Source organism: Homo sapiens, chromosome 10 (assembly GCF_000001405.40).
Source record: "Homo sapiens chromosome 10, GRCh38.p14 Primary Assembly".
Lineage (NCBI taxonomy): Eukaryota > Metazoa > Chordata > Mammalia > Primates > Hominidae > Homo > Homo sapiens.
Window position 1 is genome coordinate 92,240,992 of NC_000010.11, and position 27,226 is coordinate 92,268,217.

Below are 27,226 nucleotides of genomic sequence, written 5' to 3' on the forward strand. Positions count from 1 at the left end.
TGCACAATCATTCTCTGGCCTCCCAGTAGCTGCAGCTACTCCATTTTGTTAGGAGACAGTTAATTTTAAAAAAAACGTTTTTAAAGAAGTAAAAACCTACTGAAACGTTTGGAAGTGCTTGCTTCTTGTTACTCTAAGGATTATGGTTTTTCTGCTTATTCCCCAATTTTCTTGTCTCCAATTCTGCCGCACAAGAGATTTCTTGGCATCGCAGTGCTTCAGGTCTCAACAGGAGCCTAAGAATTTCTCTGCAGAGTGGAGAAATGCTTCTGGTTGGATTTAAGGTCAGAGAGTGCGCGCGAGCGAGCGAGCGCCTGTGAGATAGGGTGGGGGTGGGGCTTTAAAAAAAACCCTCAGAGATTTAAGTAGACAGTCAAGATAATTCTGGGGTTGTCAGATTTTCAATTTTGAATCCTCCTGCTGCTGTCTTGGTCACAAGACTTTGGCAAATTTAGAATCCATTCTCTTATCACTAGTATTAGCAGCGAAACACTATGGTTTGAAGACCCTGAATTACCATATGCTAGCAAAAGTGTTAAAAATAGAGGAGTACAAAGTCTCAAATTTTCATACATTGTAATTATAGTGCATTGCCATCACTGCTTCATTTAGCCATATAAGGAGTGTATGGTATTTTCCATCTCACAGAGAAGGGCTATATTCACCTCTACCATACAGCCTGTTTTCTTATTCAAGGATGAAAATTACTAATCACTCAAAACCCGGAGACTGCCATACATGTAGTTAGCTTGTCCTTAGAACATGTTAATTGCTTTAAATATATAAATATTACAGTGCTGAGACCCTAAAAACAAATATTTTGAAATGTTAAAGGGGCATATGACCAAACATATAATTATTTTTAGATGATGATTCAGTACAATTGCAACAAAGTTATTAATAAATTTAATGCAGTTACTTAATTAACCCAGATACTTGGAGAGGAATCTTTCTCAGGACACTTGTGAAAAGGCATTCAGATACACACAGAAGCTCTGCCTCTAGACATCCTCATGATAATAATTATTGTTAAAATCAACATATCAGAAAATGAAAATATTAACTATTATGCAAAATATATCAGACAAATGGGATTAAAAGTAGTTCTATTATTTTATTAGAGACTATCATTAAAATGGTTCATTAGTATCTTTTATTTCAAAGTTTCATACACAAAATAGTGGTGGGCTAAAGGAAATGCTTCGCAGCCACCTTGCTCTCCCTTCTATTCCTCATTCCCCTGCCTTTCCTCCCTTCAACCCCCCCAGGGAAAAAAACCCAACTCAATATAATATACAACACAGATTGCCGGCTACTACCAATAAAATCTATTTAAGATTGCTTTTATGTTCCTCAGTTCCCTTGGTCTAAAACAATGGCTTTGATCAGTATTGCAAAATACAATACAAAGAGGCAAATGAAGCTTTGATTTAGACAGCACAAAGTTCTATTGCTGCCACAGAAGATGGTCACAGAAAGAGACATTTTCATACTTGGTTTAAACGGTGCTGCAGTAAACCATTATAATCTGAGATTTGAGTCACTTCCAGTGAGCTAGAATTGTCTTTATAATAGCCATATCATCATGGCTGAAATAGGCATTTGATTATAATTTTAATATCACTCTGCTTTTCCGGTTGCTTGTATCAATGCTTGCTGTTAATGCCTTCAGTTTAAACTACATGCTCTTCATGGAAAAATTAATGCTGTACCTCAGCAAAAAAGCCAAAAAGTAAGCTGGACTCAGAACATTTTATAGTAGCTGTAATCAATGTTAACATATTCATTGAATTTTAAAAATTTTATACCAGGAACACCCATTTCTCTTCTCAACACTCCTTAAAAATATAAATTTTGCTTTCTGCATAAATTCACTCTGTCAAGGTCAAGACCCACCTTTAATAAATAAGACCTTTTCAAACAAAAGGTAAGCAATAGATTAACATAAAATTTGCAAAGGTAGTATTCAACGTCTCTCAGCAACTGCCTGTATAGTTTGTTTTGTGTTCTTGGGGTTGTTTTTTGTTTTTTTGGGTTTTTTGTTTTTGTTTTTGTTTTTGCTTATTTACAGCAAAGTGAGAAATAGATACCTCCTTCCCCTCCCCCACCACACACAATAGATATTCTTTTACATGCAATAACCCAATTTCAAGTAACAAAATCTTAGTAGCAGTTACCTTTGAGTGTCCAGTTTTTAAGAATCGATAAAATTTAAAAGTATACAGTATTTATTTTCTTCTTTCAGGTTGATTATGTGACCGCTCTGGCAAAAGCACTTTGACAACTGTAAGATGAGAGGGCATGCGCACACAGGGAACTGTGGGGGCTGAAGTCCTTCACAAGGTACTCGATCTGACTTCAGCACGTTCAGCCGGGAAAGGAGGAAGTCTCACAAATACAGATTCTGAGGGGAAAAGGTTGTGTCCTGATTACATTATATCCTCCTAACCAATCTAAATCACGAGTTGTTGAAATAAAAGGGAAAAAAATAAACTGGTTTGTCAACTTGCCATAGGAAGCCAGGATAAAGGGAAACTGAATTGTAGTATTCAGAATAAATAAACCAAGCAGAGCTACCTTAAATGGTTAGAATGGTAATGACTGGGTAGCTAGCAATAGGAATCCTACTAGAAAGAGACTGGGGTGGAGAGGAATAGGCAAGGGAGGGGGAACTACTGGAGAATGTTAGATACTTAAAATCTGACCATACTTAAACACTTAAATAATTTTTTAAATTTTTCAGCAGAGATGGCATAAAAGAATCACTTTTAGTTTAGAATAAAAAACACCTTAATGTTAAATGTGATATCAACCTTAGAGGTCAGGTAAAAATAGATTTTAGTCATAAATTTTTGACATCCACCAGATTTCTTGTATTTTAGTTTTCAATGCAGGAACAAATCACTTATTTTAAGATTGTACCTGATAAGCTCTGAACCAACTCACCTCCTTATTTTTACTTGTCAAAATAAAAGTTCACCTTGCATTATTCATACAAAGGATTACTCAAATAAAATTCAACTCTTATACTAAAATAATATTTGGTGAATTATTTAAAAACAATTGTATATGTTGCCGGGCAGGGTGGCTCATGCCTGTAATCCCAGCGCTTTGGGAGGCCGAGGAGGGCAGATCACCTGAGGTCAGGAGTTCGAGACCAGCCTGGCCCACATGGTGAAACCCCATCTCTACTAAAAATACAAAAATTAGCTGAGCATGGTGGCAGGAGCCTGTAATCCCAGCTACTCGGGAGGCTGAGGCAGGAGAATCGCTTGAACCTGGGAGGTAGAGGTTGCAGTGAGCTGAGATTAGGCCACTGCACTCCAGCCTGGGTGACAGAGTAAGACCCTGTCTCAAAAAAAAAAACTAATAATAATAACAATTGTACATGTTTAGTGTTACATTGCATAAGACAATGACTTCTTTCTTTAAGACAAACAGTAGATACAGTTTTCTTTTTTTTTGAGATGGAGTCTCTCTCTGTTGCCTAGGCTGGAGTACAGTGGTGCGATCTCAGCTCATTGCAACCTCTGCCTCCTGGGTTCAAGCGATTCTCCTGCCTCAGCCTCCCAAGTAGCTGGGACTACAGGGGCATGCCACCACGCCCGGCTCATTTTTTGTATTTTTAGTAGAAAAGGGTTTTCACTGTGTTAGCCAGGATGGTCTCGATCTCCTGACCTCGTGATCCGCCCGCCTCTGCCTCCCAAAGTACTGGGATTACAGGCATGAGCCACCGCACCTGGCCAAGTTTCTATTAAAAACTGTTTTTTGGTATGGTTTTTCCTATTTTAACCTCATGATTCCAAGGCTGGAATCTCACAACATATTAAAATCAACTGCTATTATCTATAGCTTCTGAAAGCAATAGTTCAAGAACCGGTTTGTTCACGTAGGCAGAAGATATTTCTTGTGGGATTTGGTTCAGTGCTACTCACCCAAGGGGTTAGCAATAAATGTCAGTTGATGACTATGCTGATTGAACTTGTAACTGAAAATGTCATCATTTAAAATTGTCTTAATTTTCTATTTCCCTTCTTCACCAATCAGAACTGAAGTATTACCAGAAACCACTGATTTGCAGCATACTGTAATCTTTGTTTCTAGTTATTTCTTAAAACAAACAAAAACCTAAGAAAAGAGTCTTTTTTTTTTTTTTTTTTTTTTGAGACTGAGTCTCGCTCTGTCACCCAGGCTGGAGTGCAGTGGTGTGATCTCGGCTCACTGCAACCTCCACCTCCCAGGTTCAAGTGATTCTCCTACCTCAGCCTCTTGAGTAGCTGGGATTACAGGCGCATGCCACCATGCCCAGCTAATTTTTGTATTTTTAGTAGAGACAAGGTTTCACAACAGTGGTCAGGCTGGTCTCAAACTCCTGACCTCGTGATTTGCCCACCTCGGCCTCCCAAAGTGATGGGATTACAGACATGAGCCACCGTGCCTGGCCAAGAATCTATTTTTTGACCCCCTAAGATTCTAGCCTAAGTCTGCAAGAAAAGAATCAGTTTGAATGAATCCACCAAAAGATCTACGTAAAACAACTAAATGTTTACTTATTCCTACTGTAATGTGACCTTAGCTTATATTTCCCATTTTTTCTCTTCCTCTAGCCTCCTAAAGAAAGCTCCACTTTTGCCAAGGTGCTGTGGTCACTATTTGGATTCCAAAATTTGCAAGGATCAACCCAAGGTTAATGTTATTCCTGAAGACTTTGCTAACCTACCAAACTTTTGCCACATTTTCAAGTATTCTAACTAAAATAAAATAGCCGGGCACGGTGGCTCATGCCTGTAATCCCAGCATTTTGGGAGGCCGAGGCGGCTGGATCACCTGAGTTCAGGAGTTTGAAACCAGCCTGACCAACACGGTGAAACCTCGTCTCTACTAAAACTATAAAAAATTAGCCAGATGTGGTGGCAGGCGCCTGTAATCCCATCTACTCAGGAGGCTGAGGCAGGAGAATCACTAGAACCTGGGAGGTGGGGGTTGCAGTGAGCCAAGACCGCACCATTGCACTCCAGCCTGGGAGACAGAGCAAGACTCCATCTCAAAAATAAATAAAATAGGCCAGGCGCGGTGGCTCAAGCCTGTAATCCCAGCACTTTGGGAGGCCAAGGCAGGCGGATCACGAGGTCAGCAGATCAAGACCATCCTGGCTAACACGGTGAAACCCCGTCTCTACTAAAAATACAAAAATTAGTCGGGCATGGTGGCAGGCGCCTGTAGTCCTGGCTACTCGGGAGGCTGAGGCAGGAAAATGGCGTGAACCCGGGAGGCGGAGCTTGCAGTGAGCCAAGATCGCGCCACTGCACTCCAGCCTGGGAGACAGAGCGAGACTCCGTCTCAAAAACAAAAAAAAAAACGAAAAACAAAAAAATAAAATAAAATAAAAATACCCTTCATAACGTCCTTATAGCTTTAAGAAATGGATTTTCAAGTACTCCAAAGTAAAATAATCCTTCATAACATCCTTACAGCTTTAAGAAATAGATTTTTTAAATTATTTGAAATTAGGATGTCAACTTTTTTTTTTTTTTGAGACAGAGTCTCACTCTGTTGCCCAGGCTGGAGTGCAGTGGCACAATCTCGGGCTCACTGCAACCTCCGCCTCCTGGGTCCAAGCGATTCTCCTGCCTCAGCCTCCCAAGTAGCTGGGGTTTCAGGCACCCACCACCACGCCCAGCTAATTTTTTGTACTTTTAGTAGAGACGGGGTTTCACCGTGTCAGCCAGGAGTGTCTTGATCTCCTTACCTCATGATCCACCCGCCTCGGCCTCCCAAAGTGCTGGGATTACAGGCATAAGCCACCACGCCCGGCCTAGGATGTCAACTTGTAATCAGTAACATAGAAATTTTTAAGTTATTCCTTTCAAAGTTATGACTTGAAATGGTTTCTCTGGGCATTTGTTAATCCACCTAACTCCAAGTGCAGGTCTATTAATATGCACAATGGACAAAAATAAACTTTGGCTCTAACCCTTGTTAAACCATAATTAACACTGCCCATACTTAATGGGATTGTATTGTATTGAAAAACACACTAATCTCTGCTTTTTTTCCCCTAAAATGAGCCTCAAATCTAAAAAGAAAATGACTCGAACATAAGCACCAAGGTATAAATACAGACGAAGAAAAGAAAAAATTATCAGAGAACCCTCCACAAGAACAAAGCCCTTCTCTACTGAAATGTTGTTTTTTTACTTAACCATAAAAGAGGTACCTTCTTTATTTTTTTATTGTTTTTTCTGAGACAGAGTCTTGCTGTGTCGCCCAAGCTGGAGTGCAGTGGCACAACCTCAGCTAACTGCAACCTCCACCTCCCAGGTTCAAGCAATTCTCCTGCCTCAGCATCTTGAGTAGTTGGGACTACAGGCACGCACCACCAAGCCTAATTATTTTATTTTATTTTATTTTATTATTTGTTTTGAGATGGAGTTTCACTCTTGTTGCCCAGGCTGGAGTGCAGTGGCGCGATCTCAGCTCACCATGACCTTTGCCTCCCCAGGTCAAGCGATTCTCCTGCCTCAGCCTCCCGAGTAGCTGGGATTACAGGCATGTGCCACCATGCCCAGCTAATTTTGTATTTTTAGTAGAGATGGGGTTTCTCCGTGTTGGTCAGGCTGGTGTCGAGCTCCCGACCTCAGGTGATCCACCCACCTTGGCCTCCCAAAGTTCTGGGATTACAGGCTAATTTTTATATTTTAAGTAGAGACGGGGTTTCACCTTGTTCACCAGGCTGGTCTCGAACTCTTGACCTCAAGAGATCCACCTGCCTCAGCTTCCCAAAGGCTGGGATTACAGGTGTGAGCCAACGCACCTAGCCAAAAAAGAGGCACTTTCTGAAATTTTATCTTGAGATCACAGAACTTCACCTTAAACCACTGCCCCCCATCCTTTGTTTTGTTTTTGTTTTTGTTTTTCTTTGAGACAGAGTCTTGCTCTGTCATCTAGGCTGGAGTGCAGTGGTGTGATCTTGGCTCACTGCAACCTCTGCCTCACAGCATAAACCCCTTTGGAGTAGCCATTAAAGGCTATAAAAATACTTCACAGAATTAACTCACTGAGATACATAGTTATTCCTCGGTATCTTGTGGGCGTAGTTCCAAACCCCCTACCCCACCAAATATCAAAATCCATGGATGCTCAAGTAAGTTCCTTATGTAAAATGGCATAGTATTTGCATACAACCTATGCACATCCTCCTGTATACTTTAAATCATCTCTAGGTTACTTATAATACCTAATACAATGTAAGTGTTATGTAAATAGTTGTTATACTATATTGTTTAGGGAATAATGACAAAAAAAGTTTGTACGTGTTCAGTACAAATGCAAGCATTCACTTTTTTTTCCAAATATTTTTGATCTGTGGTTGGTTGAATCAAAGAATATGTGGATATGGAACCCACAGATAAGAAAGGACAACTGTACATGGGTCAAATACATCATTTTGAGCTTCCTTCCTTCTTTTCCTTCCCTACTTACATCCCTAGCACAATGCTTATATGTCCTGGGTAGTTGGTAGGTGCACTATACATGCTTGCTAAATATACGGATAAATGGATGGATGAATAAAGCATAGTTTTTCTATTACTTAAAACAGCCAGGTTCAAGTTAAGTATTAAATTCATTTAGAAGAGCAATTAATTTTCCCTTAGCTGCAAGGATGGGAAGGGGAGTGGTATAAAATAGAAAACCATTTTGGCTTTTATGATGTTCAGTAGTATGCAGACTATTTGATTACCATCATGAAGTAACAGACACACACCCCGCCCTTCCACAGAAATTGTTTCTCCAAGATTATAATAGACGCCCTGAGCTAAGTCCAATGGATGTTTGTCAGTCTATCTTGCTTGACCTTGCAGCAACATTGACATAACTGACCACTCTTTCTGGATATACAGTCATGCATAGCATTAACAATATTCCAGTCAAACCACATACACAATGATGGTCCCAAAGATTATAATGAAGCTGAAAAATTCCAATCACCTCCTCACTTTGTAGCTGTCAATGTCATAGTGCAAAAGCATCACTCATGTATTTGTTGTGATACTGGTGTAAACAAAGCCACTGTGCTGCCAGTTTTATAAAATTATAGCACATAAGGCCGGGCATGGTGGCTCATGCCTGTAATTCTAGCACTTTGGGAGGCCAAGGCAGGCGGATCACGAGGTCAGGAGATTGAGACCATCCTGGCCAACATGGTGAAACCCCATCTCTACTAAAAACACAAAAAAATTAGCAGGGCATGGTGGCACGTGCCTGTAGTCCCAGCTACTCAGGAGGCTGAGGCCGGAGAATCTCTTGAATCCTGAAGGCAGAGGTTGCAGTGAGCCAAGATCGTGCCACTGCACTCCAGTCTGGTGACAGAGCGAGACTCCGTCTCAAAAAAAAAAAAAAAAATTATAGCACATACAATTATGTACAGTACAAAATACTTGATAATTATAATAAATTACTGTTGTTGGTTCATGTATTTACTTTTTATCATTATTTTACAGTGTACTCTTTAGTAGAAAGGTGGTGCATGCCTGTAATCGCAACTACTCGGGAGGTTGAGGCAGGAGAATCACTTGAACTTGGGAAGTGGAGGTTGCAGTGAGCTGAGATCACACCATTGCACTCCAGCCTGGGCAACAGAGTGAGACTCTCAAAAATAAAAATAAAAAATAAAAAAGTAAAAAAAAATTAGAAATTTTAAAAGTTGAAAAAAGTTTATAGAATAAGGGTATAAAAAATATTTTTGGGCCAGGAGCGGTGGCTCATGCCTGTATTCCCAGCACTTTGGGAGGCCGAAGCAGGAAGATTACTTGAGGTAAGGAGTTTGAAACCAGCCTTGGTCAACATGGTGAAACCCTGTCTCTACTAAAAATACAAAAAAATAGCTGGGCGTGGTGGCAGGCACCTGTAGTCCCAGCTACTTCAGAGGCTGAGGCAGGAGAATCGCTTGAACTTGGGAGTCGGAGGTTGCAGTGAGCCCAGATCACACCACTGCACTCCAGCCTGGACAACAGAGTGAGACTCCATCTCATATATATATATATATATGTTATATAGCTATACAATATATTTTTATTTTAAGCTGTTATTACAAGTGTCAATTTTTTTTCTTTTGAGACAGAGTCTTGCTCTGTCGCCCAGGCTAGAGTGCAGTGGCGCGATCTGAGCTCACTGCCAGCTCGGCCTCCTGGGTTCACGCCATTCTCCTGCCTCAGCCTCCCGAGTAGCTGGGACTACAGGCGCACTCCACCACACCCGGCTAATTTTTGTATTTTTAGTAGTGACGGGGTTTCACCGTGTTAGCCAGGATGGTCTCCATCTCCTGACCTCGTGATCCGCCCACCCTCAGCCTCCCAAAGTGCTGGGATTTATAGGCGTGAGCCACTGTACCCGGCCAATTTTTAAAAAAAAAATTTAAAAGTTTAAAAAGTTAAAATATTGCAATAAGCTAAGGTCAATTTTCTTGGAGGGGGGTCAATTTATTATTGAAGAAAAGTTCTTTTTATAAATTTAGTGTGGCCTAAGTGTACAATGTTTATAAAGTCTACAGTAGTATATAGTAAAATCCTACGCCTTCACATTCATTTACTGCTCACTCACTGACTCACACTAGAACAACTTCCATTCCTGCAAGCTCAATTCATGGTAAGTGCCCTATACATGTGTACCTTTTTTAATATATGTATCCTTTATACCATTTTTTGTTTGTTTGTTTTGAGACAGAGTCTCACTCTGTTGCCCAGGCTGGAGTGCAGTGGCATAATTGCGGCTCACTGCAACCTCCACCTCCCAGGTTCAAGCAATTCTCATGGCTTAGCATCCCAAGTAGCTGGGACTACAGGCGCCTGCCACCACACACACAGTTAATTTTTTTTTTTTTTTTTTTTTTTTTGTATCTTTAATAGAGATGGAGTTTCACTCCCATCTCTTGGGAAACTTTCGTTGCCCAGGCTGGTCTTGAACTCCTGAGCTCAGGCAATCCGCCCACCTCAGCCTCCCAAAGTGCTAGGATTACAGGCATGAGCCACCATGCCCAGCCTATACTGTATTTTTACTGTACCCTTCTGAAGTTTAGATATACAAATACCTACCATTGTGTTACAACTGCCTACAACATTCTGTGGGGTAACATGCTGTACACGTTTGTAAGCTAGAAGCAAAAGGCTGTACTATACAGCCTATGTGGGTAGTAGGCTCTACCATCTAGGTTTGTGTAAGTACACTTTATGACAACTGACACAAAAAAATCACCTAACGATGCATTTCTCAGAAAGTATCCCCTTTGTTGGTAAGCAACACATGACTGTACCTTCTTCCCTTTTCCTCCTTCCTTCATGCTGTCCTTTCTTAGTTTTCTAACATGTGGGATTGTATTCTCTCTTCTCTCTTCTCTCCTCTTCTCTCTCTCTCTCTCTCTCTTCTTTGCTAACTGACTTTAAATACTGAGATTTAAAGTTATTGGAACAGGATAAGCAAATAAACAGAACAAAATTAAAAAGTCTAGAAATAGGTGGATCTATGTATGATCCCCAGAATTCCAAAAACAGTAACAGTAATGAAAAGACGAAGCAGTAATGAAAAGATGGTCTTTTCAATAAAGGGTATTCGAGTCAACTGAATATCCATATGGCAAAAAAGAGACCTTTATACTTACAACACTATATTCAAAAATCAATTCCAGATGGATTGTAGGCCTAATTGTAAAATATAAACAAAAAAGCCCTTAAAAGAAAACCTGGGAGAATCAACAATTTATTAAACAGGTCCCATCCTGGAAGGGGACACCAACAGAAAGAAAAAAAGGTCGGATGTGGTGATGGGTGCCTGTAATCCCAGCTACTCGGGAGACTGAGGCATGAGAATAGTTTGAACCCAGGAGGGAGAGGTTGCAGTGAGCCGAGATCACGCCACTGCACTCCAGCCTGGGTGTCACAGCAAGACTCCATCTCAAAAAGAAAAAAAAAAAAAAGAAGTCACAAAACCAGTAACCATAAGTAAGACAGTATTCGAATAAAAACTCACAGAATGGGAGAATATATGCTCTCTCTCTCTATATATATTTTTTTTCAACAAAAGACTTGTAACCAGAATATATAAAGGACTCCTACAAATCAATAAGAGTAAATATCCCCCCAAGAATAGGCAAAAGATTTCACCGAAAGATATTCAAATGACCAAAAAGCATATGAAAAGGTGCTCTACCTCACTAATCAACAGAAACAAAAAAAGGCAGAATAAAATCAGAATGGCTAGAACTGGAAAAGGCAGACAATACCAAGCATTAGCAAGGATGGGAGCAACCCCTCCTTTTTTTAAGCAACCCATTTTTCAAACAATGCTGGTGAAAGTATAGTTCGGTATAACTATACAACCACAATGCAAAATCATTTAGCAGTGTCTATTAAAGCTAAACATTCACAAACCTTATGACCCAGCAATTTAGCCTCTAGCTATACACCCAATAGAAATGCAGACATGTTCACCAAGATATGTTCGAAGCAGCATTATTCATAATAGCCAAACCTGAAAACAACCCAAATATCCATCTGTAATAGAATGGATAAATAAATTTGTGAGGGACTCATATAATGGAATATGATAAGGCAAAGATAATGAATAGATGCCAACTTTTTTTTTTTAATTTTTATTTTTTGTAGCTGGGACTACAGGTGCCTGCCACCATGCCTGGCTAATTTTTGTATGTTTTTGTAGAGATGAGGGTTTTGCCGTGTTGCCCAGGCTCATCTCAAATTCCTGAGTTCAAGTGATCCTCCCACCTCGGCCTCCCAAAGTGCTGAGATTACATGTGTGAGCCACTGTGCCTGGCCTGACTCCAACTGTATAAAACAGCATACATAAATTGCATGAATGCAATGCTAAGTGAAATGTCTGATGCAAAAAAGTATATACTATATGCTATATGATTCCACTTAAAGTTCCTTTTTTTTTTGAGACAGGGTCTCGCTCTGTTGCCTAGGCTGGAGTGAAGTGGTGTGATGACAGCTCACTGCAACCTCCAACTTAAAGTTATAATAAAACTAATTTACAGTATTAGAAGTCAAGATAGTAATTGCCTTTACAGGGAAATAATGATTGCTAGGGAACATAAAAGGGGACTTCAGTGATGCTGGTGACATACTTATTCTGTTTGTTGAACTGGGTGTTCACTTTGAAAATTCAGAAAACTAGGCTGGGCACGGTAGCTCACGCCTGTAATCCCAGCACTTTGGGAGGCCGAGGCAGGCGGATCACAAGGTCAAGAGATTAAGACCATCCTGGCCAACATGGTGAAATGCCATCTCTACTAAATATACAAAAATTAGCCAGGTGTGGTGGCACACGCCTGTTGTCCCAGCTACTCGGGAGGCTGAGGCAGGAGAATCACTTGAACCCGAGAGGTGGAGGTTGCAGTGAGCCGAGATCGCACCACCGCACTCCAGCCTGACAACAGAGCAAGACTCTGTCTCAAAACAAAAAAAAAAAAAAAAAAAAAGAAAAGAAAGAAAAGAAAATTCAGAAAACTAAACATTTATTTTTTGTGTAATTTTCTGTACATGTTATACAGTACTTCCATAAAGTTTACAAAAATACAAATAGAAAAATTAGCCAGGCATGGTGGCATGTGCCTATAGTCCCAGCTACTTGAGAGGCTGAGGTGGAATCATCACCAAAGCCCAGGGAGTTTGAGGCTGCAGTGAGCTGTGATTGTGCCACTGCACTACAGCCTGGGTGACAGTGAGACTCTGCCTCAAAAAAATTTATTAAAGTTTACAAAACACACAATATATTTGTAAAGGTAAAGAGAAAAAAATAGTATGATCTGGCCAAATAGGAGGGGGAGCCTTAGGTCTGTGTCATTTAAGCTAAAGAAATAAACTAGGGGTTCCCTATGTGCCAGGCTGTACTAGAGGCACCAAATGTAAAGATTTGAGTTTGTAAAGACTCAAAATTCTGTGGCCAGGCATGGTAGCTCATGCCTGTAATCCCAGAACTTTGGGAGGCTGAACTAGGAGAATCACTTGAGCCCAAGAGTTTGAGACCACCTTAGGCAATATAGTGAGACCTTATCTCTACAAAATATTTAAAAATTAGCTGAGCATGGTGATGTGCACCTGTGGTCCCAGGTACTCAGGAGGCTGAGGTGGGAGGACTGCTTGATCCCAGGAAGTTGAGGCTGCAGTGAGCCATGATTGTGTCAATGCACCTCAGCCTGGGCAACAGAGTGAGACCCTGCCTTTAAAAAAAAAAAAATGCAAAGTTCCTTGACTTCAAAGAGCTCACAGTCTAAGAAAAGAAATAATAATTTTGGTCAATTATTCAATATTCCCTAGGTAACCTAGAAAGCTTTTAAAAATGTTAAAAGCTAAGGCAATTTACATGCAGGAAGTCCACATCTTCTGAGTGATGATCTGTTAAGTAATTCTAGACATGACTAAGTTTGAGAACAGAATAAGAGAAAAGGGAGCAAAAAGGTAGCCAGGTGAGCTAGATGTAGCTTAGTGGACAATCTGGAGAGCACCTTGGGTTTTTTTATGTTTCTCACTCTCTGTTTGTTAGTCTTGGGTTAATTCGTTTCATTCATTCCATAATTTTATGAAGGGCCTCCTGGCCACAAAGTAGCAATTCCAATTTTACCTCCCTTTTTTATAGACCTTGTCTCTAACATTTTTCTTTTTATACAGACAGAGTCTTGCTCGCTCAGTCACCCAAGCCAGAGTTCAGTGGCATGATCATACCTCTCACTGTAGCCTTGATCTCCTTGGCTCAAGAGATCCTCCCACCTCAGTCTCCCAAGTACCTAGGACTACCGGCATATACCACCACACCCAGCTAATTTTTCTTTCCTTTTCCCTTTTCCTTATTTTTTTATTTTTTATTTTTATTTTTATTTTTTTTTCTGGCGATGGAGTGCTGCCACATCACCCAGGCTAGTTTCAAATGCCGGGCCTCCAGTTATTCTCCCGCCTTGGCCTCGCAAAGTGTTGGGATTACAGGCATGAGCTGCTGCACCCAGTTCTCTTGTCTGTAACTCCTAAGAGAATACTGAGGCTATTAGGTAGTAATGTCTCCAATTTCCCTACTGCCCACCAACAAGCCCTCCCTTACAAACTTACCTGTATTCCCTTTCATATTCCCTTTCCTCCTTTCTCAGAGGAAGCTGAGTCTCCCTACAAGACCACAATTAATCCCTCCTTCTGTGGTCTAGAACCCATTCCTTCTAGTTTCCTTGAGACCTAGCTCATTAATTTAATTATTCTCAGCTCTCTCATTCCCATTCCTGGCAGGCTATTTGAAAGAAACTCTAGATCTTAGTTAACTTCCTTACTTCCAGTTAACTCCCCAACTTACTGCAGTCTGGCTTCTGCCCCTACCATTCTACAAAAATTGCTCTTGGTACTGACATTACCAAAGTCACCAATGACCAACTAACACTTTTCAAGTCCTATTTTCTTTGTGCATTCTTCATAAAACACTTCTGATAAGAATTTAAGATGCCTTCCCAAGATTCCAGGCTAGAAGCTAAAAAAGAACCCACATCCTATAACTGCAATTCTTCCAACAAGAAGGCACTTGAAGATGGATTTCTCCCAAGAGCTTCTAGATGAGAACTCCGCAGGGCCACCATCTTGATTTCAGTCTATTAACACCCTGAACAAAGAACCTAACCGTGGTGCACCACACTTCTGACCTATGGAACTGTTAGTTAATAAATGTTGTTTTAAGCCATTAAGCTTGTGATGATTTGTTACACAACAGTAGCAAACTAATACAACACTATTCCATTTTCATTTAAGATACTGCTCTCCTGTATCTTTACTTATCTCTTAATGTTTCTTCTCAATCTTCTGCCCCTAAATACAGTCTCCCCCAGGGTTCTCCTAATTCTGCATACTCTCCCTAATCAATGTTATATTCATAAAGTTCACCACTGTTTAGGTCTCCGGATGAAATGTTTTTAAGCTACAGACTGCTTTTAACTATTTCTCTATCAGAAGATCCTATTAGCACCTCTTCTCCCATAAATTTGCTTGTGCATTTATATTTGGTTAACTTATCCTATTTAATGGCACCACCATCAGTGTAGTCACACAAGTTAGGAACCTGGACATGATTCTTCCCCTTTTCCCTGAGAGACAAGTCCAACTGGTTGATAAAACTTATTAATCCTGCCTCCTAAATTTCTGACTGACATCCTATCGTCTCCATTCACAACCAGTATAATACTGTACCTGAACTACAGCAGTGATCTCCTAATGTCTCTCATCTAGTATTCTTCCAAATGTGGCCTCCATACTAAATCCTGAGTAATCATTCGAACATAGTTTTACCATGTTATGCCCCTTCCTAAAACTCTCCAATAACTTTTCCCTTGCCATGAGGATAAAATACAAACCTTTTTTCTTTTTTTTTTTTTTTGAAACAGAGTCTCACTCTGTTGCCCAGCTAGAGTGCGGTGGCGCATCTTGGCTCACTGCAACCTCCGCCTCCTGGGTTCAAGCAATTCTCCTGCCTCAGCCTCCTGAGTAGCTGGGACTACAGGCACGTGCCACCACACCCAGCTAATTTTTGTATTTTTAGTAGATGGGGTTTCACCATGTTGGCCAGGATGGTCTCGATCTCTTGACCTCGTGATCCGCCCGCCTCAGCCTCTCAAAGTACTGGGATTACAGGCATGAGCCACTGTGCCCAGCCCAAACTTAACTCTTCTACACGTACTCTTCCCAGCCATGCCAACCTAACTCAAATGTCCATTATTTGAAGCTTTCCTTGACCATGTAAGCAGAATTGCTGATTCCTTCCTTTATACAACTTTGTAAGACACATATATCTCTATTACAGTATTTATTCTTCATATTTCAGTGTAATTATTTGTTTACACATCTGCCTTTCCTAGAAGACCTCCAGGTTTGGGACTATATTCATCTTTGTAACCCAGGTACTGGGCCTAAAACATAGAGATACTGGATAAAAGTTTGTTTATCAAATCAAAGAACAGATACCTTTTATCCCAATTTGTTGAAATGTAAAGCACTTCTTTAACATTAGACAAAGAGAAGTTCTATGGATTCTATTGCCATAGAATGTGTTCCAAAACCCTATGCTTAATAATACAAAGTTTAATGTTTATGAAGACATTCCATATTGAAATTCAGTATAATTTACCTTTCTCCTGTTGGAGGATATTTGATTTGTTTCCAAGTTTTCACTATTTTCCAAACTGACTGTTTCCTTGAGCCTTATTTCTAAAGAAGAAATTGCTCAATTGGAAGGCATAACATTGATTTTGATACATATTAACAAATTATTTATTTTATTTTTTTTTTAAGGCAGGGCCTCTGTCTCCCAGGTTGGAGTGCAGTGGTACCATCAGAGCTCACTGCAGCCTCAACCTCGCAGGCTCAAGTGATCCTCCTGCCTCAGTCCCCCAAGTAGCTGGGATTACAGGCTTGGGCCACCACACCCAGCTAATTTTTTGTATTTTTAGTATAGATAGAGTTTTGCCATGTTGCCCAGGCTGGTTTCAAACTCCTGGGCTCAGGCAATCCTCCTGCCTTGGCCTCCCAAGTGCTAGGATTACAGGGGTGAACCACCTTGCCAACAAATTGCTTTAGAAAGCTTGCAGCAGTGTATACTTCCACTAGAAATTAGCTTCTACATAAAAACAATGTATAAATAGTATAAAAAAACAGAATCCGGTTCCTGATAATGTAATAATGTAGAAAAGGACCTCAACTCTTTTTTTTTTTTTTTTTTGAGATGGAGTTTCACTCTTGTCACCCAGGATGGAGTGCAGTGGCACAATCTCAGCTCACTGCAACCTCTGCCTCCTAGGTTCAAGCGATTCTCCTGCCTCAGCCCCCTGAGTAGCTGGGATCACAGGCGCCCACCACCATGCCCAGCTAATTTTTGTATTTTTGATAGAGATGGGGTTTCGCCATGTTGGCCAGGCTGGTCTCACACTCCTGACCTCAGATGATTCGCCAACCTCAGCCTACCAAAGTGCTGGGATTACAAGCGTGAGTTATCGTGCCCGGCCTCTCAACTCTTTCAATATGCCAAATAATATTAAGTCCCTTTTAACATCCTAATATATGTATTTTTTTCTTTCCTTTTTTTTTTTCTGAAACCAAGTCTCGCTCTGTCACCCAGGCTGGAGTGCAATGGTGTACCATCTCGGCTCACTGCAACCTCCACCTCCCGGGTTCATGCAATTATCCTGCCTCAGCCTCCTGAGTAGCTGGGATTAAAGGCACCCGCCACCACACCTGGCTAATTTTTGTATTTTTAGTAGAGACAGGATTTTGACATGTTGGCCAGGCTGGTCTTGAACTCCTGACCTCAGGTGATCCACCCTCCTCAGCCTCCCAAAGTGCTGAGATTATAGGCGTGAGCCACCGTGCCTGGCCAACATCCTAATATATTTAATACTTTGTCATTCTTCTTCATCATACCATCATATGATAATGAAATAGTGCAGATAAATTAAATACTTATAGCTGATGTTTATTAGCTGGAGATTCCTTTTCAGATTATGACACAAGTATACATGTGTGCATATTCCATAGGAATAGGAGAAAAAGATGAGTAGCCTTCATCTATGTTCAGTTTCCAGACTTCAATTATATTTTTTGAATATATATATATATATATATATATATATATATATATATATATATATATATATATTTCATGTATTTGTGTTCATCTTAGGTCAAAAAATGTTCACTAGATCAGATATTTTTATATAAATTTTTTCTTTTTTAAACAGAGTCTCTTGACTCAGCTTCCTGAGTAGCTGGAACTACAGGCACCCACCACCACGCTGAGTAATTTTTTTGTATTTTTAGTAGAGATGGGGTTTTCACCATATTAGCCAGGATGGTCTCCATCTCTTGACCTCATGATTCGCCTGCCTCAGCCTCCCAAAGTGCTGGGATTACAGGCACGAGCCACCACGCCTGGCCCTTTCTTTCTTTCTTTTTTTTCTTTGAGACAGTCTCACTCCGTTGCCCAGGCTGGAATGCAGTGGTGCAATCTCAGCTCACTGCAATCTCCACCTCCCGGGTTCAAGCAATTCTCCTGCCTCAGACTCCTGAGTAGCAGGGATTACAGGTACACGCCATCATGCCTGGCTAATTTTTGTATTTTTAGTAGAGATGGGGTTTCACCATGTTGGCCAGGCTGGTCTCAAACTCCTGACCTCAGGTGATCCACCCACCTCAGCCTCCCAAAGTACTGGGATTACAGGTATGAGCCGCCACACCCAGCCATTCTGTCCTTTCTTTAGAGCCCTGCTCAAACCCTACCTCCTAACAATATCATCTATGGCCGGGTGCGATGGCTCATGCCTGTAATCCCAGCACTTTGGGAAGCCGAGGTGGGCAGATCACCTGAGGTCAGGAGTTCGAGATAAGCCTGACCAACATGGAGAAATCCCGTCTCTACTAAAAATACAAAATTAGCCGGGCGTGGTGGCACATGCCTATAATCCCAGCTACTAGGGAGGCTGAGGCAGGAGAATCTCTTGAACCCGGGAGGCGGAAGTTGCAGTGAGCCGAGATCGTGCCACTGCACTCCAGCCTGGGAAACAAGAGCAAAATTCCATCTCAAAAAAAAAAAAAAATCATCTATCTGTACCACATTTTTATTGCTTTGCATTTGCATTTCTGTTTACCTCTTCTGGCATATAATTATGTTAATTACCAAACTAGAACTCTAAGCTTCTTGAGGCCAGGCACTGCAACTTATCTTTTTTTCTTTCTCAGAGCCAGTATAATATCTTGCATAGAGCTTAGTAACAATTGCAGCTAACGTTTATGTGGCAAATACTGTGTGCTTGATACAATGCTAGGTACTTCCACACATTAATTCATTTAACCCATACAATAAATCTATGAGGTAAATACTGTTCTTGTCCCTAGTTGCAGATGACAAAACATAAACTTAGGTGACTTACCTGCACACTGTCACAAAACTCGTGGCAGAACTAGGACCTAATTTCAGTTCTGCTTGACTCTACAGCTGTCTTTTGGCTCCTCACACAAGCAAGTCCTTTTGTCCTACTTGATCCATGAAGACCAGGAGATAGCTTGGACTTCACAGTTGTTAAGAGGGCAAATTGTGGTTCAGCAACTTTTCTTTCTCCCACTGACACAAAGCTTTTATGTAATGACCTTTCCCTGAAAACCAGAGATAAGCTCTAACCAAATAATTCTGAATATCATTGATGGGCAAGACCCAGTCTTACTGCAGGGTATCCTAAAATCATGTCTTCTGGCTGGGCGTGGTGGCTCATGCCTGTAATCCCAGCACTTTGGGAGGCAGAGGCGGGCAGATCACCTGAGGTCAGGAGCTTGAGAACAGCCTGACCAATATGATGAAACCCCATCTCTACTAAAAATACAAAAATTAGCCAGGTGTGGTGGCATGCGCCTGTAATCCCAGCTACTCGGGAGGCTGAGACAGGAGAATCACTTGAACCCAGGAAGCAGAGGTTTCAGTGAGCCGGGACCACACCACTGCACTCCAGCCTGGGCAACAAGAGCAAAACTCCTTCTCAAAAAAAAAAAAAAAAAATCATTTGTCTTCAAGATAATTTTTTGACTGTTTGTTTTATTCTTCTTCTTTTTGAGGCTGAGTCCTGCTCTGTTGCCCAAGCTGGAGTGCAATAGTGCACCATCTCAGCTCATTCCACCTATTCCACCTCCTGGGCTCAAGCAATTATCCTGCTTCAGCCTCCCGAGTAGCTGGGATTACAGGCGCACACCACCATACCCAGCTAATTTTTGTATTTTTAGTAGAGACGGGGTTTCGCCATGTTGGCCAGGCTGGTCTCGAACTCCTGACCTCAGGTGATCCACCTGCCTCGGCCTCCCAAAGTGCTGGGATTACAGGCGTGAGCCACTGCGCCTGGCCAATTGACTGTTTTTAAGATGATTATTCATCGAAAGTACTAATTTTAGTCTTCAGAGATCCAGTGAGCAAGGCTGGTCCAGGCCTGAAGTAATGAAAAAAACCTTTGTTTGCTACAACCTCTGCCTTAACAGCCAGTAGCTAGTAGGTTCTGTACAAGCTGATGAGTCACAGGGATCATCAGGGGAAAAAAAAAAGGGCAATAGTCAATATGTCTACACAGGTAGCCCTTGGATTCTAGTATTTGAAACCAAGTAGTATTTGTGTAATATCAGTGTCTTACATTCACAAAGGCATTAGACTTTATCTAACTCCTTCACCTTTATTATCTCACTTGATGTTAACAGCCCTGTGCAGTGAAAGACAGTATAGACAGGATCCTCACATTCATTCACTTCTGCAGACTGTTCAGTGTGCCAGAAGGCTAGCCAAGAAGGCTAGTGAAGACTGAAATTTAGACCATGCTCTTCTCACCAAGCTTATAAACCTTACTGTAAAGCTGCATCTGTCCAAAGGAAGGGGTCCCTTTTTCTGTTTTGTTTTGTTTTGTTTTGTTTTTTTGAGACACAGTCTCACTTTGTGCCCAGGCTGGAGTGCAATGGCGTGATCTCAGCTCACTGCAACCTCTACCTCCTGGGTTCAAGGAATTCTTCTGCCTCAGCCTCCCAAGTAGCTGGGATTACAGGCGCCCACCACAATGTCTGGCAAATTTTTTGTATTTTTAGTAGAGGCAAGGTTTCACCATGTTGGTCAGGCTGGTCTCGAACTCCTGACCTCAGGTGATCCACCCACCTCGGCCTCCTAAAGTGGTGGGATTACAGGCATGAGCCACCACACCTAGCCTCTTTTTTCTGAATTTCTACAAAGGGACTATGTGAGCAGGCAACAGCACTTAGGATGACTGTTGGGATCCCCACCTTAAAGATGTGAAAATCCAGGCTCAGATATGTTACAAGACACAACTAATAAGTGGTGAGTCCAAGATTAGAATTCAAGTCTTCCAATTCATTAGTAAGCAAGCCTTTTCAACTATACTACAAGTCTCCCAATGGTTCAATTTAATATGTGTTATTTCTGTCTTGTCATGTTGCAGACTGGTATCCTCAGCCCCTTGCTCTAACCAACTGAAGCAATATCTATAGGTTTTTGGCATAGCTGTAATCTGAAGTCATATCTGTTCTCTTCTTGAGGAAGCTGAGAAATAGATATATGCACCAAATGTCCTAAGAGAGATACTTTAGATGAATCTACCACTTTTGAAAAAGAAATTAGACCACCTGCCCTAATGCTGCTAACAGATCACGATATCATCACAGTAACAGGGTATCAACATTATATTATGGAGATGATGTGTAAAAAGAACATGGGATATAAAATCTAATTATCTAAATGCAGATACTAGCACTACCACTTACTAGCTGCCTGTCCCTAGGTGATAATAACAACAAATATTTATTGAACTCATATTACTTGCAATGATATGTACTTTATTTACATGAAGAATAATTTTGTACAACTCTAAGAGTTAAGTACCTTCATTATCCCCATTTCACAGATGAGGACTCTGAGGCTAAAGTAACTTGTCCTGGGTTATAATGTTGGCAAGTAGAGAAGCCAGGATTCCAACCCAGGCAATCTAGCTCTAAAACCCATGTCTTTGGCAAGGCAAGGTAGCTCACGCCTATAATCCCAGCACTTTGGGAGGCTGAGGGGGGAGGATTGCTTGAGCCCAGGAGTTCAAGACCAGCCTGGGCAACATACAGAGATCTTGTCTCTTTTTTAAATTTTTAAAAAATAAATAAATAAATAAACAACCCCATGTTCTCAATTTCTCAGTCTTTGTTTCCTCTGGAATAAAATGGAGATAATATTAACAGCTGCCTAAATAATTAGAATCATAAAAGTGTGCATTAAAGCATCTTTTTTTTGAGACAGTGTCTTCTTACTCCTGTATCCCAGCGGGGAGCACAGCAGCGTGATTGTGGCTCACTGCAGTCTTGACTCCAAGGCTCAAGAAAAAAAATCCTCCTGCCTCTTTTTTGTTTGTAGAGACGAGGTCTCACTAGGTTGCCCAGGCTGGTCTCAAATTCCTGGGCTCAAGCAGTCCTCCCGCCTCAGCCTCTCAAAGTGCTGGGACTGTAGGCGTGAGCCATAGCACTCGGCCGAAAGCATTTTTTTGTTGTTGTTGGAGACAGTCTCTCACTCCACAGCCCAGGCTAGAATGCAATGGCTGGATCTCGGCTCACTGCAACCTCCGCCTCCCAGGTTCAAGCAATTCTCACGCCTCAGCCCCAGGAGTAGCTGGGATTACAGGCATGCACCACCACACCTGGCAAATTTTTGTATTTTTAGTAGAGATGGGGTTTCGCCATGTTGGCCAGGCCAGTCTCGAACTCCTGGCCTCAAGTGATCCGCCCAACTTGGCCTCCCAAAGTGTTGGGATTACGGGCCTCGTGAGCCACTGTGCCCAGCCCAATAAAGCATTTTTAATAAACCGTAAAGCAGTAAAGGTCAATGTATGAAAGCCAAAGCTAATACTGACATGTGGATGAGATCGTCCAGTGGATGGGATGGTCTAGAATCTATACTTAAGTGTAGATTTTCTTCTCTCCTTCCCACTTAATATCAGGAGTCAAATTAGTTGTGTTAAGCCCATGCTTCTAGAAAAACAATAATCTTGCTATGCAGGTATTTCTTGTCCTACCTCTTCCTATATCCTGTTTCCTGCTTATGGAAGCAAAATATACAGTGGGACATATTCTTACACAGCCACAGGATGTCAATTTTTAAAAAAATATTTTGTAGAGATGGGGTCTTGTTATGTTGCCCAGGCTGGTCTCAAACTCCTGGTCTTAAGGGATCCTCCCTGTTGGTCTCCCAAAGCACAAGAATTACATGCATGAGCCACTGCACCTAGCCAGATTTTAAAATTAGTTTTAAAAATTTGTGTATTGAGAGAATTTCCTCATCATCTGGTGATGATGTTTATACTAACTAGCATTCCCTGATCATTTAGTCTATGTAGGCATCTAGATAAGAATTTTATATGTCTTATCAGTTAATCCTCATAATAACCCTAAAAGATGGAAGCTATCATTCTTCTCATTTTTCAGATAAGGAAACTTAGAAATAATCAATAATGGCTGGTTGCAGTGACTCACGCCTATAATCCCAGCACTTTGGGATGCCGAGGCAGGCAGATCACCTGAGGTCAGGAGTTCAAGACCAGCCTGGACAACATGGTAAAACCCTGTCTCTACAAAAATATAAAAATTAGCTGGGCATGGTGGTGCATGCCTGCAATCCCAACTACTTGGGAGGCTGAGGTGGGAGAATCACTTGAACCTGGGAGGTGGAGGTTGCAGTAAGCTGAGATCATGCCACTGCACTCCAGCCTGGGGGACAGAGTGAGACTCCATCTCAAAAAAAAAAAAAAGAAAAGAAATGATCAATAATTTACCCAAGGTGACATAACTAGTAGGTGAATAAGCTCAGGTCTATTTTTATTCCAAGGCTTAACTGTTATCCCTCACCAACTGCCACACCCAGGCATAACTAGGAATAACATCAGTGTCTACATTTTCTTTGCATACAATCAGGCCTCTGCCTTCAGGTGTTTCTTCCTTTGGTAATCATGTTTTTTCTCAATCAAAAGTCAGGCTTAGCCTGGCATGGTGGCGCAAGCCTGTAATCTCAGCTACTCAGAAGGCTGAGGCACAAGAATTGCTTGAACCCGGGAGGCAGAGGTTGCAGTGAGCCGAGATCACGCCACTGCACTCCAGCCTGGGTGACAGAGCGAGACTCCGTCTCAAAAAAAAAAAAAAAAAATCATTTGACTGAAGGAATATAAAAACACAGCTGGATGGCCGGGCACAATGTTTCATACCTGTAATCCCAACACAATGGGAGGCCGAGGCAGGACGACGATCACTGAGACCAGGTTGCACAACATAGACTCTTGTCTATAAAAAAAATTTAAGGTCGGGCATGTGGCTCAATCCTGTAATCCTAGCACTTTGGGAGGCCAAGGTGGGCGGATCACCTGAGGTCAGGAGTTTGAGACCAGCCTGGCCAACATGGTGAAACTCCATCTCCACTAGAAATACAAAAATTAGGTGTGATGGTGTGCGCCTGTGGTCCCAGCTTCTTGGGAGGCTGAGGCAGGAGAATCACTTGAACCCAGGAGGCGGAGGTTGCAGTGAGCCGATCCTGACACTGCACTCCAGCCTGGGCAACACAGCGAGACTCCGCCTCAAAAAAAAAAATAAAGTCAAAGCATATGGTCTGAGAATTTGAAATAAATTTCAGAAAAATCCAAGACTTGTGGTTGTTGGGCCTTTTACCTTTCTCCCCAAGACCTAATCACCTAGAACAAGCCCTATTCAGATTGTTCTCAGCTTCTCTTTTGAGACCAAGCCTAGCTCCTCTTAGTGTTCCAGAGTTAAACCCATCTCCCAGGCAGAAGCCTCCACCTAAACTCTTCACCTAAAAGCCTCAGAGCTTCTTAGTGACAGAGACTTCAATTAGTCTTAGCCTTATGAAAAATGTCTCTCCCAAAAGAAAAAGACAGGGCGGGCACGGTGGCTCATGCCTGTAATCCCAGCACTTTGGGAGGCCGAGGCAGGTGGATCACCTGAGGTCAGGAGTTTGAGACCAGCCCGGCCAACATGGTGAAACCCCATCTACTAAAAATAACAAAATTAGCCAGGCATAGTGACCTGTAATCCCAGCAACTCGGGAGGCTGAGGCAGGAGAATCGCTTGAACCCAGGAGGCAGAAGGTGTAGTTAGCCAAGATCATGCCATTGCACTCAGCCTGGGCAACAAGAGCAAAACTCCATCTCAAAAAAAAAAAAGAAAGAAAGAAAAAGATGAAAAAAGTTTTCTTTTTTTTTTTTTTCAAATAGAAACTCTTGCTACAGTTTGAATGTTTGTGTCCTCCAAAAGTCATTTTGAAACTTAATCCCCAGTGTGGCAGTGTTGAGAGGTGGAGCCTTGAGGAGGTAACTAGATTATGTGGGCTCTGCCCTCATGAATGGATTAATCCACTCATGGATTAATGGGTTAATGAATTAATGGATTATGATAAAGGTGGGACTGTTAGCTTTACAAGAAGAGGAAGAGAAACCTGAGCTTAGTGCCCTCGACATGTGATGCCCTACACAGCCTTGGGACTCTGCAGTCTCCACCAGCAAGAAGGGCCTCAACAGATGTGGCAGATACAGCACCTCAGCCTTAGACTTCTCAGCCTACATAACTGTAAGAAATAAATTTATTTTCTTTATAAATTACCCACTTTCCAATATTCTGTCATAAGCGACAGAAAACAGACTAAGACAGCCCATAAAGCATTCCTTTGAAACATCCCACTCTAAACAACCCCAGCCTTTCCCAGAAGAGGCAGGAGGAGGAAAAGAGAAGTTTATCTGTTCTCTTAAGGGAAAGGTATTGTTTTGCCTCTCCTTTCTAAAGAGGCTTCTTTCTAAAGTCACTGCAGTTTGCACGGTTGGTCCTCTTAGAACAAAAAAGAAAGCACAAGCCCTAAGCTTCATATGCAGAAATCATCTTCAAATTCATTAATTCAATACATTTACTGAGCACCTATTATATGGTGGGCTCCCAACACTCACTATTCCTCTTTCCGTCTACATGCATGATCAAGAGTACTCAAAAGTAGTAAACCAAAAAGACAAGCTTATCCTACAATGGGAAGCGGGAGGGGGAAGGAAAAGGATGGCTACTAAAAACAAAAATTAAAAAAAAATCAGATGGGTATAAAAGCGCTAGAAAGAACAAAAGGGTGATGTGACTGACAGATCTGGTAGAATATTTAGCTTAGATGGTCATGGCTGGGCACGGTGGCTCACGCCTGTAATCCCAGCACTTTGGGAGGCTGAGGTGGGCAGATCACCTGAGGTCAGGAGTTCGAGACGAGCCTGGCCAACATGGTGAAACCCCATCTCTACTAAAAATACAAAAATTAGCCGGGCGTGGTGGCAGGCACCTGTAATCCCAGCTACTTGGGAGGCTAAGGCAGGAGAATCACTTGAACCCAGGAGGCGGAGGTTGCAGTGAGCCAAGATTGCGCCATCACACTCCAGCCTGGGGGACAAGAGCAAGACTTCATCTCCAAAAAAAAAAAGATGCTCATTAAAGGCCTCCTTGACTAGATGAAACGTGAATTAAAAGAAGGAGCCATCCATATGGCTGGTGGTAGAGGATGCAGAGGGAACAATTAATGTGAAAATCCTAATGCAGGAGTAAGGCTTTCAAGCTGGGGTTGGCAAATTTTTTCTGTAGCACCACATAGTAAATATTTTAGGCTTTGTTAAGTCACAGAAAGTCTCTTGTTACATACTCTTCTTGTTCTTGTTGTTTTACAACCCTTTAAAAATATAAAAACCATTCTTAGTTTTGGCAGTATAAAAACAGGTCTCCAGAAAAATTTGACCTCTGCCAAGACTCCTGCTTTAGAGGAACACACAATCTATTGGAGCTAGAGGGTAAGTGGACCAGAAGGAAAGCAACACAAGATGAGGTGTGAAAGGCAGTCAGCAGCCAGATCATAGAGGAGACCTTTTAGACTAAGTTAAGAATTTTTTTAAGTGTGATGGGAATCCCCTGGAGAGTTGTAAGCAGAGCTGTGACATGCTTTAAAAAGGTCACCTTGGCTGTGTGTGAAGAACAGACTGTGGCAGAGTTAAGAGTAGAAACAGAAACAGATTAGGAGATTGGTTATTATATTATCCAGGCAGGTAAGGATGAGTGTGATGATGGTGGCAGAGATGGAAAGGACTGAACAGGAAGTGAACTGAACACCTCCAATGAAAGCCATGTTTATTATTGATTAACAAAATCATGGAAGGATTCTTGAAATTTTCGTTTAAAATCAAAAGAGCTTGTGTTGACCTATAAAATGTATTTATTTATTTAGAGATGTAGTCTCGCTCTGTTGCCAGGATGGACTGCAGTGGCACGATCTCGGCTCACTGCCGCCTCCGCCTCCCGGGTTCAAGCAATTCTCCTGCCTCCTCCTCCCGAGTAGCTGGGACTACAGGCACGCACCACAATGCCCAGCTAATTTTTGTATTTTTATTAGAGACGGGTTTCACCACGTCGGCCAGGATGGTCTCGATCTCTTGACCTCGTGATCCACTTGCCTCAGCCTCCCAAAGTGCTGGGATTACAGGCCAGCCACCGCGACCGGCCGACCTATAAATTTTATTAAGTTTGATGGATAGAAAAATCTTGGTTAATCAAATTTTCTGCAACATTTTGACATGTTTGATTTATAGATATTTGAACTTTTGACA

At 41.7% G+C, this 27,226-nt stretch overlaps 1 protein-coding gene and 1 long non-coding RNA gene across 21 annotated transcripts in view; one reads left to right on the forward strand and one right to left on the reverse strand.

The window, feature by feature from the left end:
* The window catches only part of CPEB3 (cytoplasmic polyadenylation element binding protein 3), a 244,542-nt gene that overhangs the window by 194,300 nt on the left and 23,016 nt on the right, over positions 1–27,226 (reverse strand). For 4 of the 20 annotated variants that reach the window (XM_047424814.1, XM_047424812.1, XM_047424809.1 and 1 more), the window contains exon 2: positions 2,178–2,404. The exons of 14 other annotated variants lie outside the window; for them this stretch is intronic. The gene's annotated coding sequence lies outside the window, so the exon portion shown is untranslated. Of the gene's footprint in view, positions 1–100; positions 295–2,177; positions 2,405–27,226 lie in introns of those variants that run through there. 2 more of the 20 variants (NM_001178137.2, XM_024447894.2) reach the window with 2 other exon arrangements.
* On the forward strand, positions 198–3,035 carry LOC124902483 (uncharacterized). Its single transcript, XR_007062247.1, has 2 exons — positions 198–284; positions 2,246–3,035. It is a non-coding gene; the product is annotated as an uncharacterized LOC124902483 (long non-coding RNA).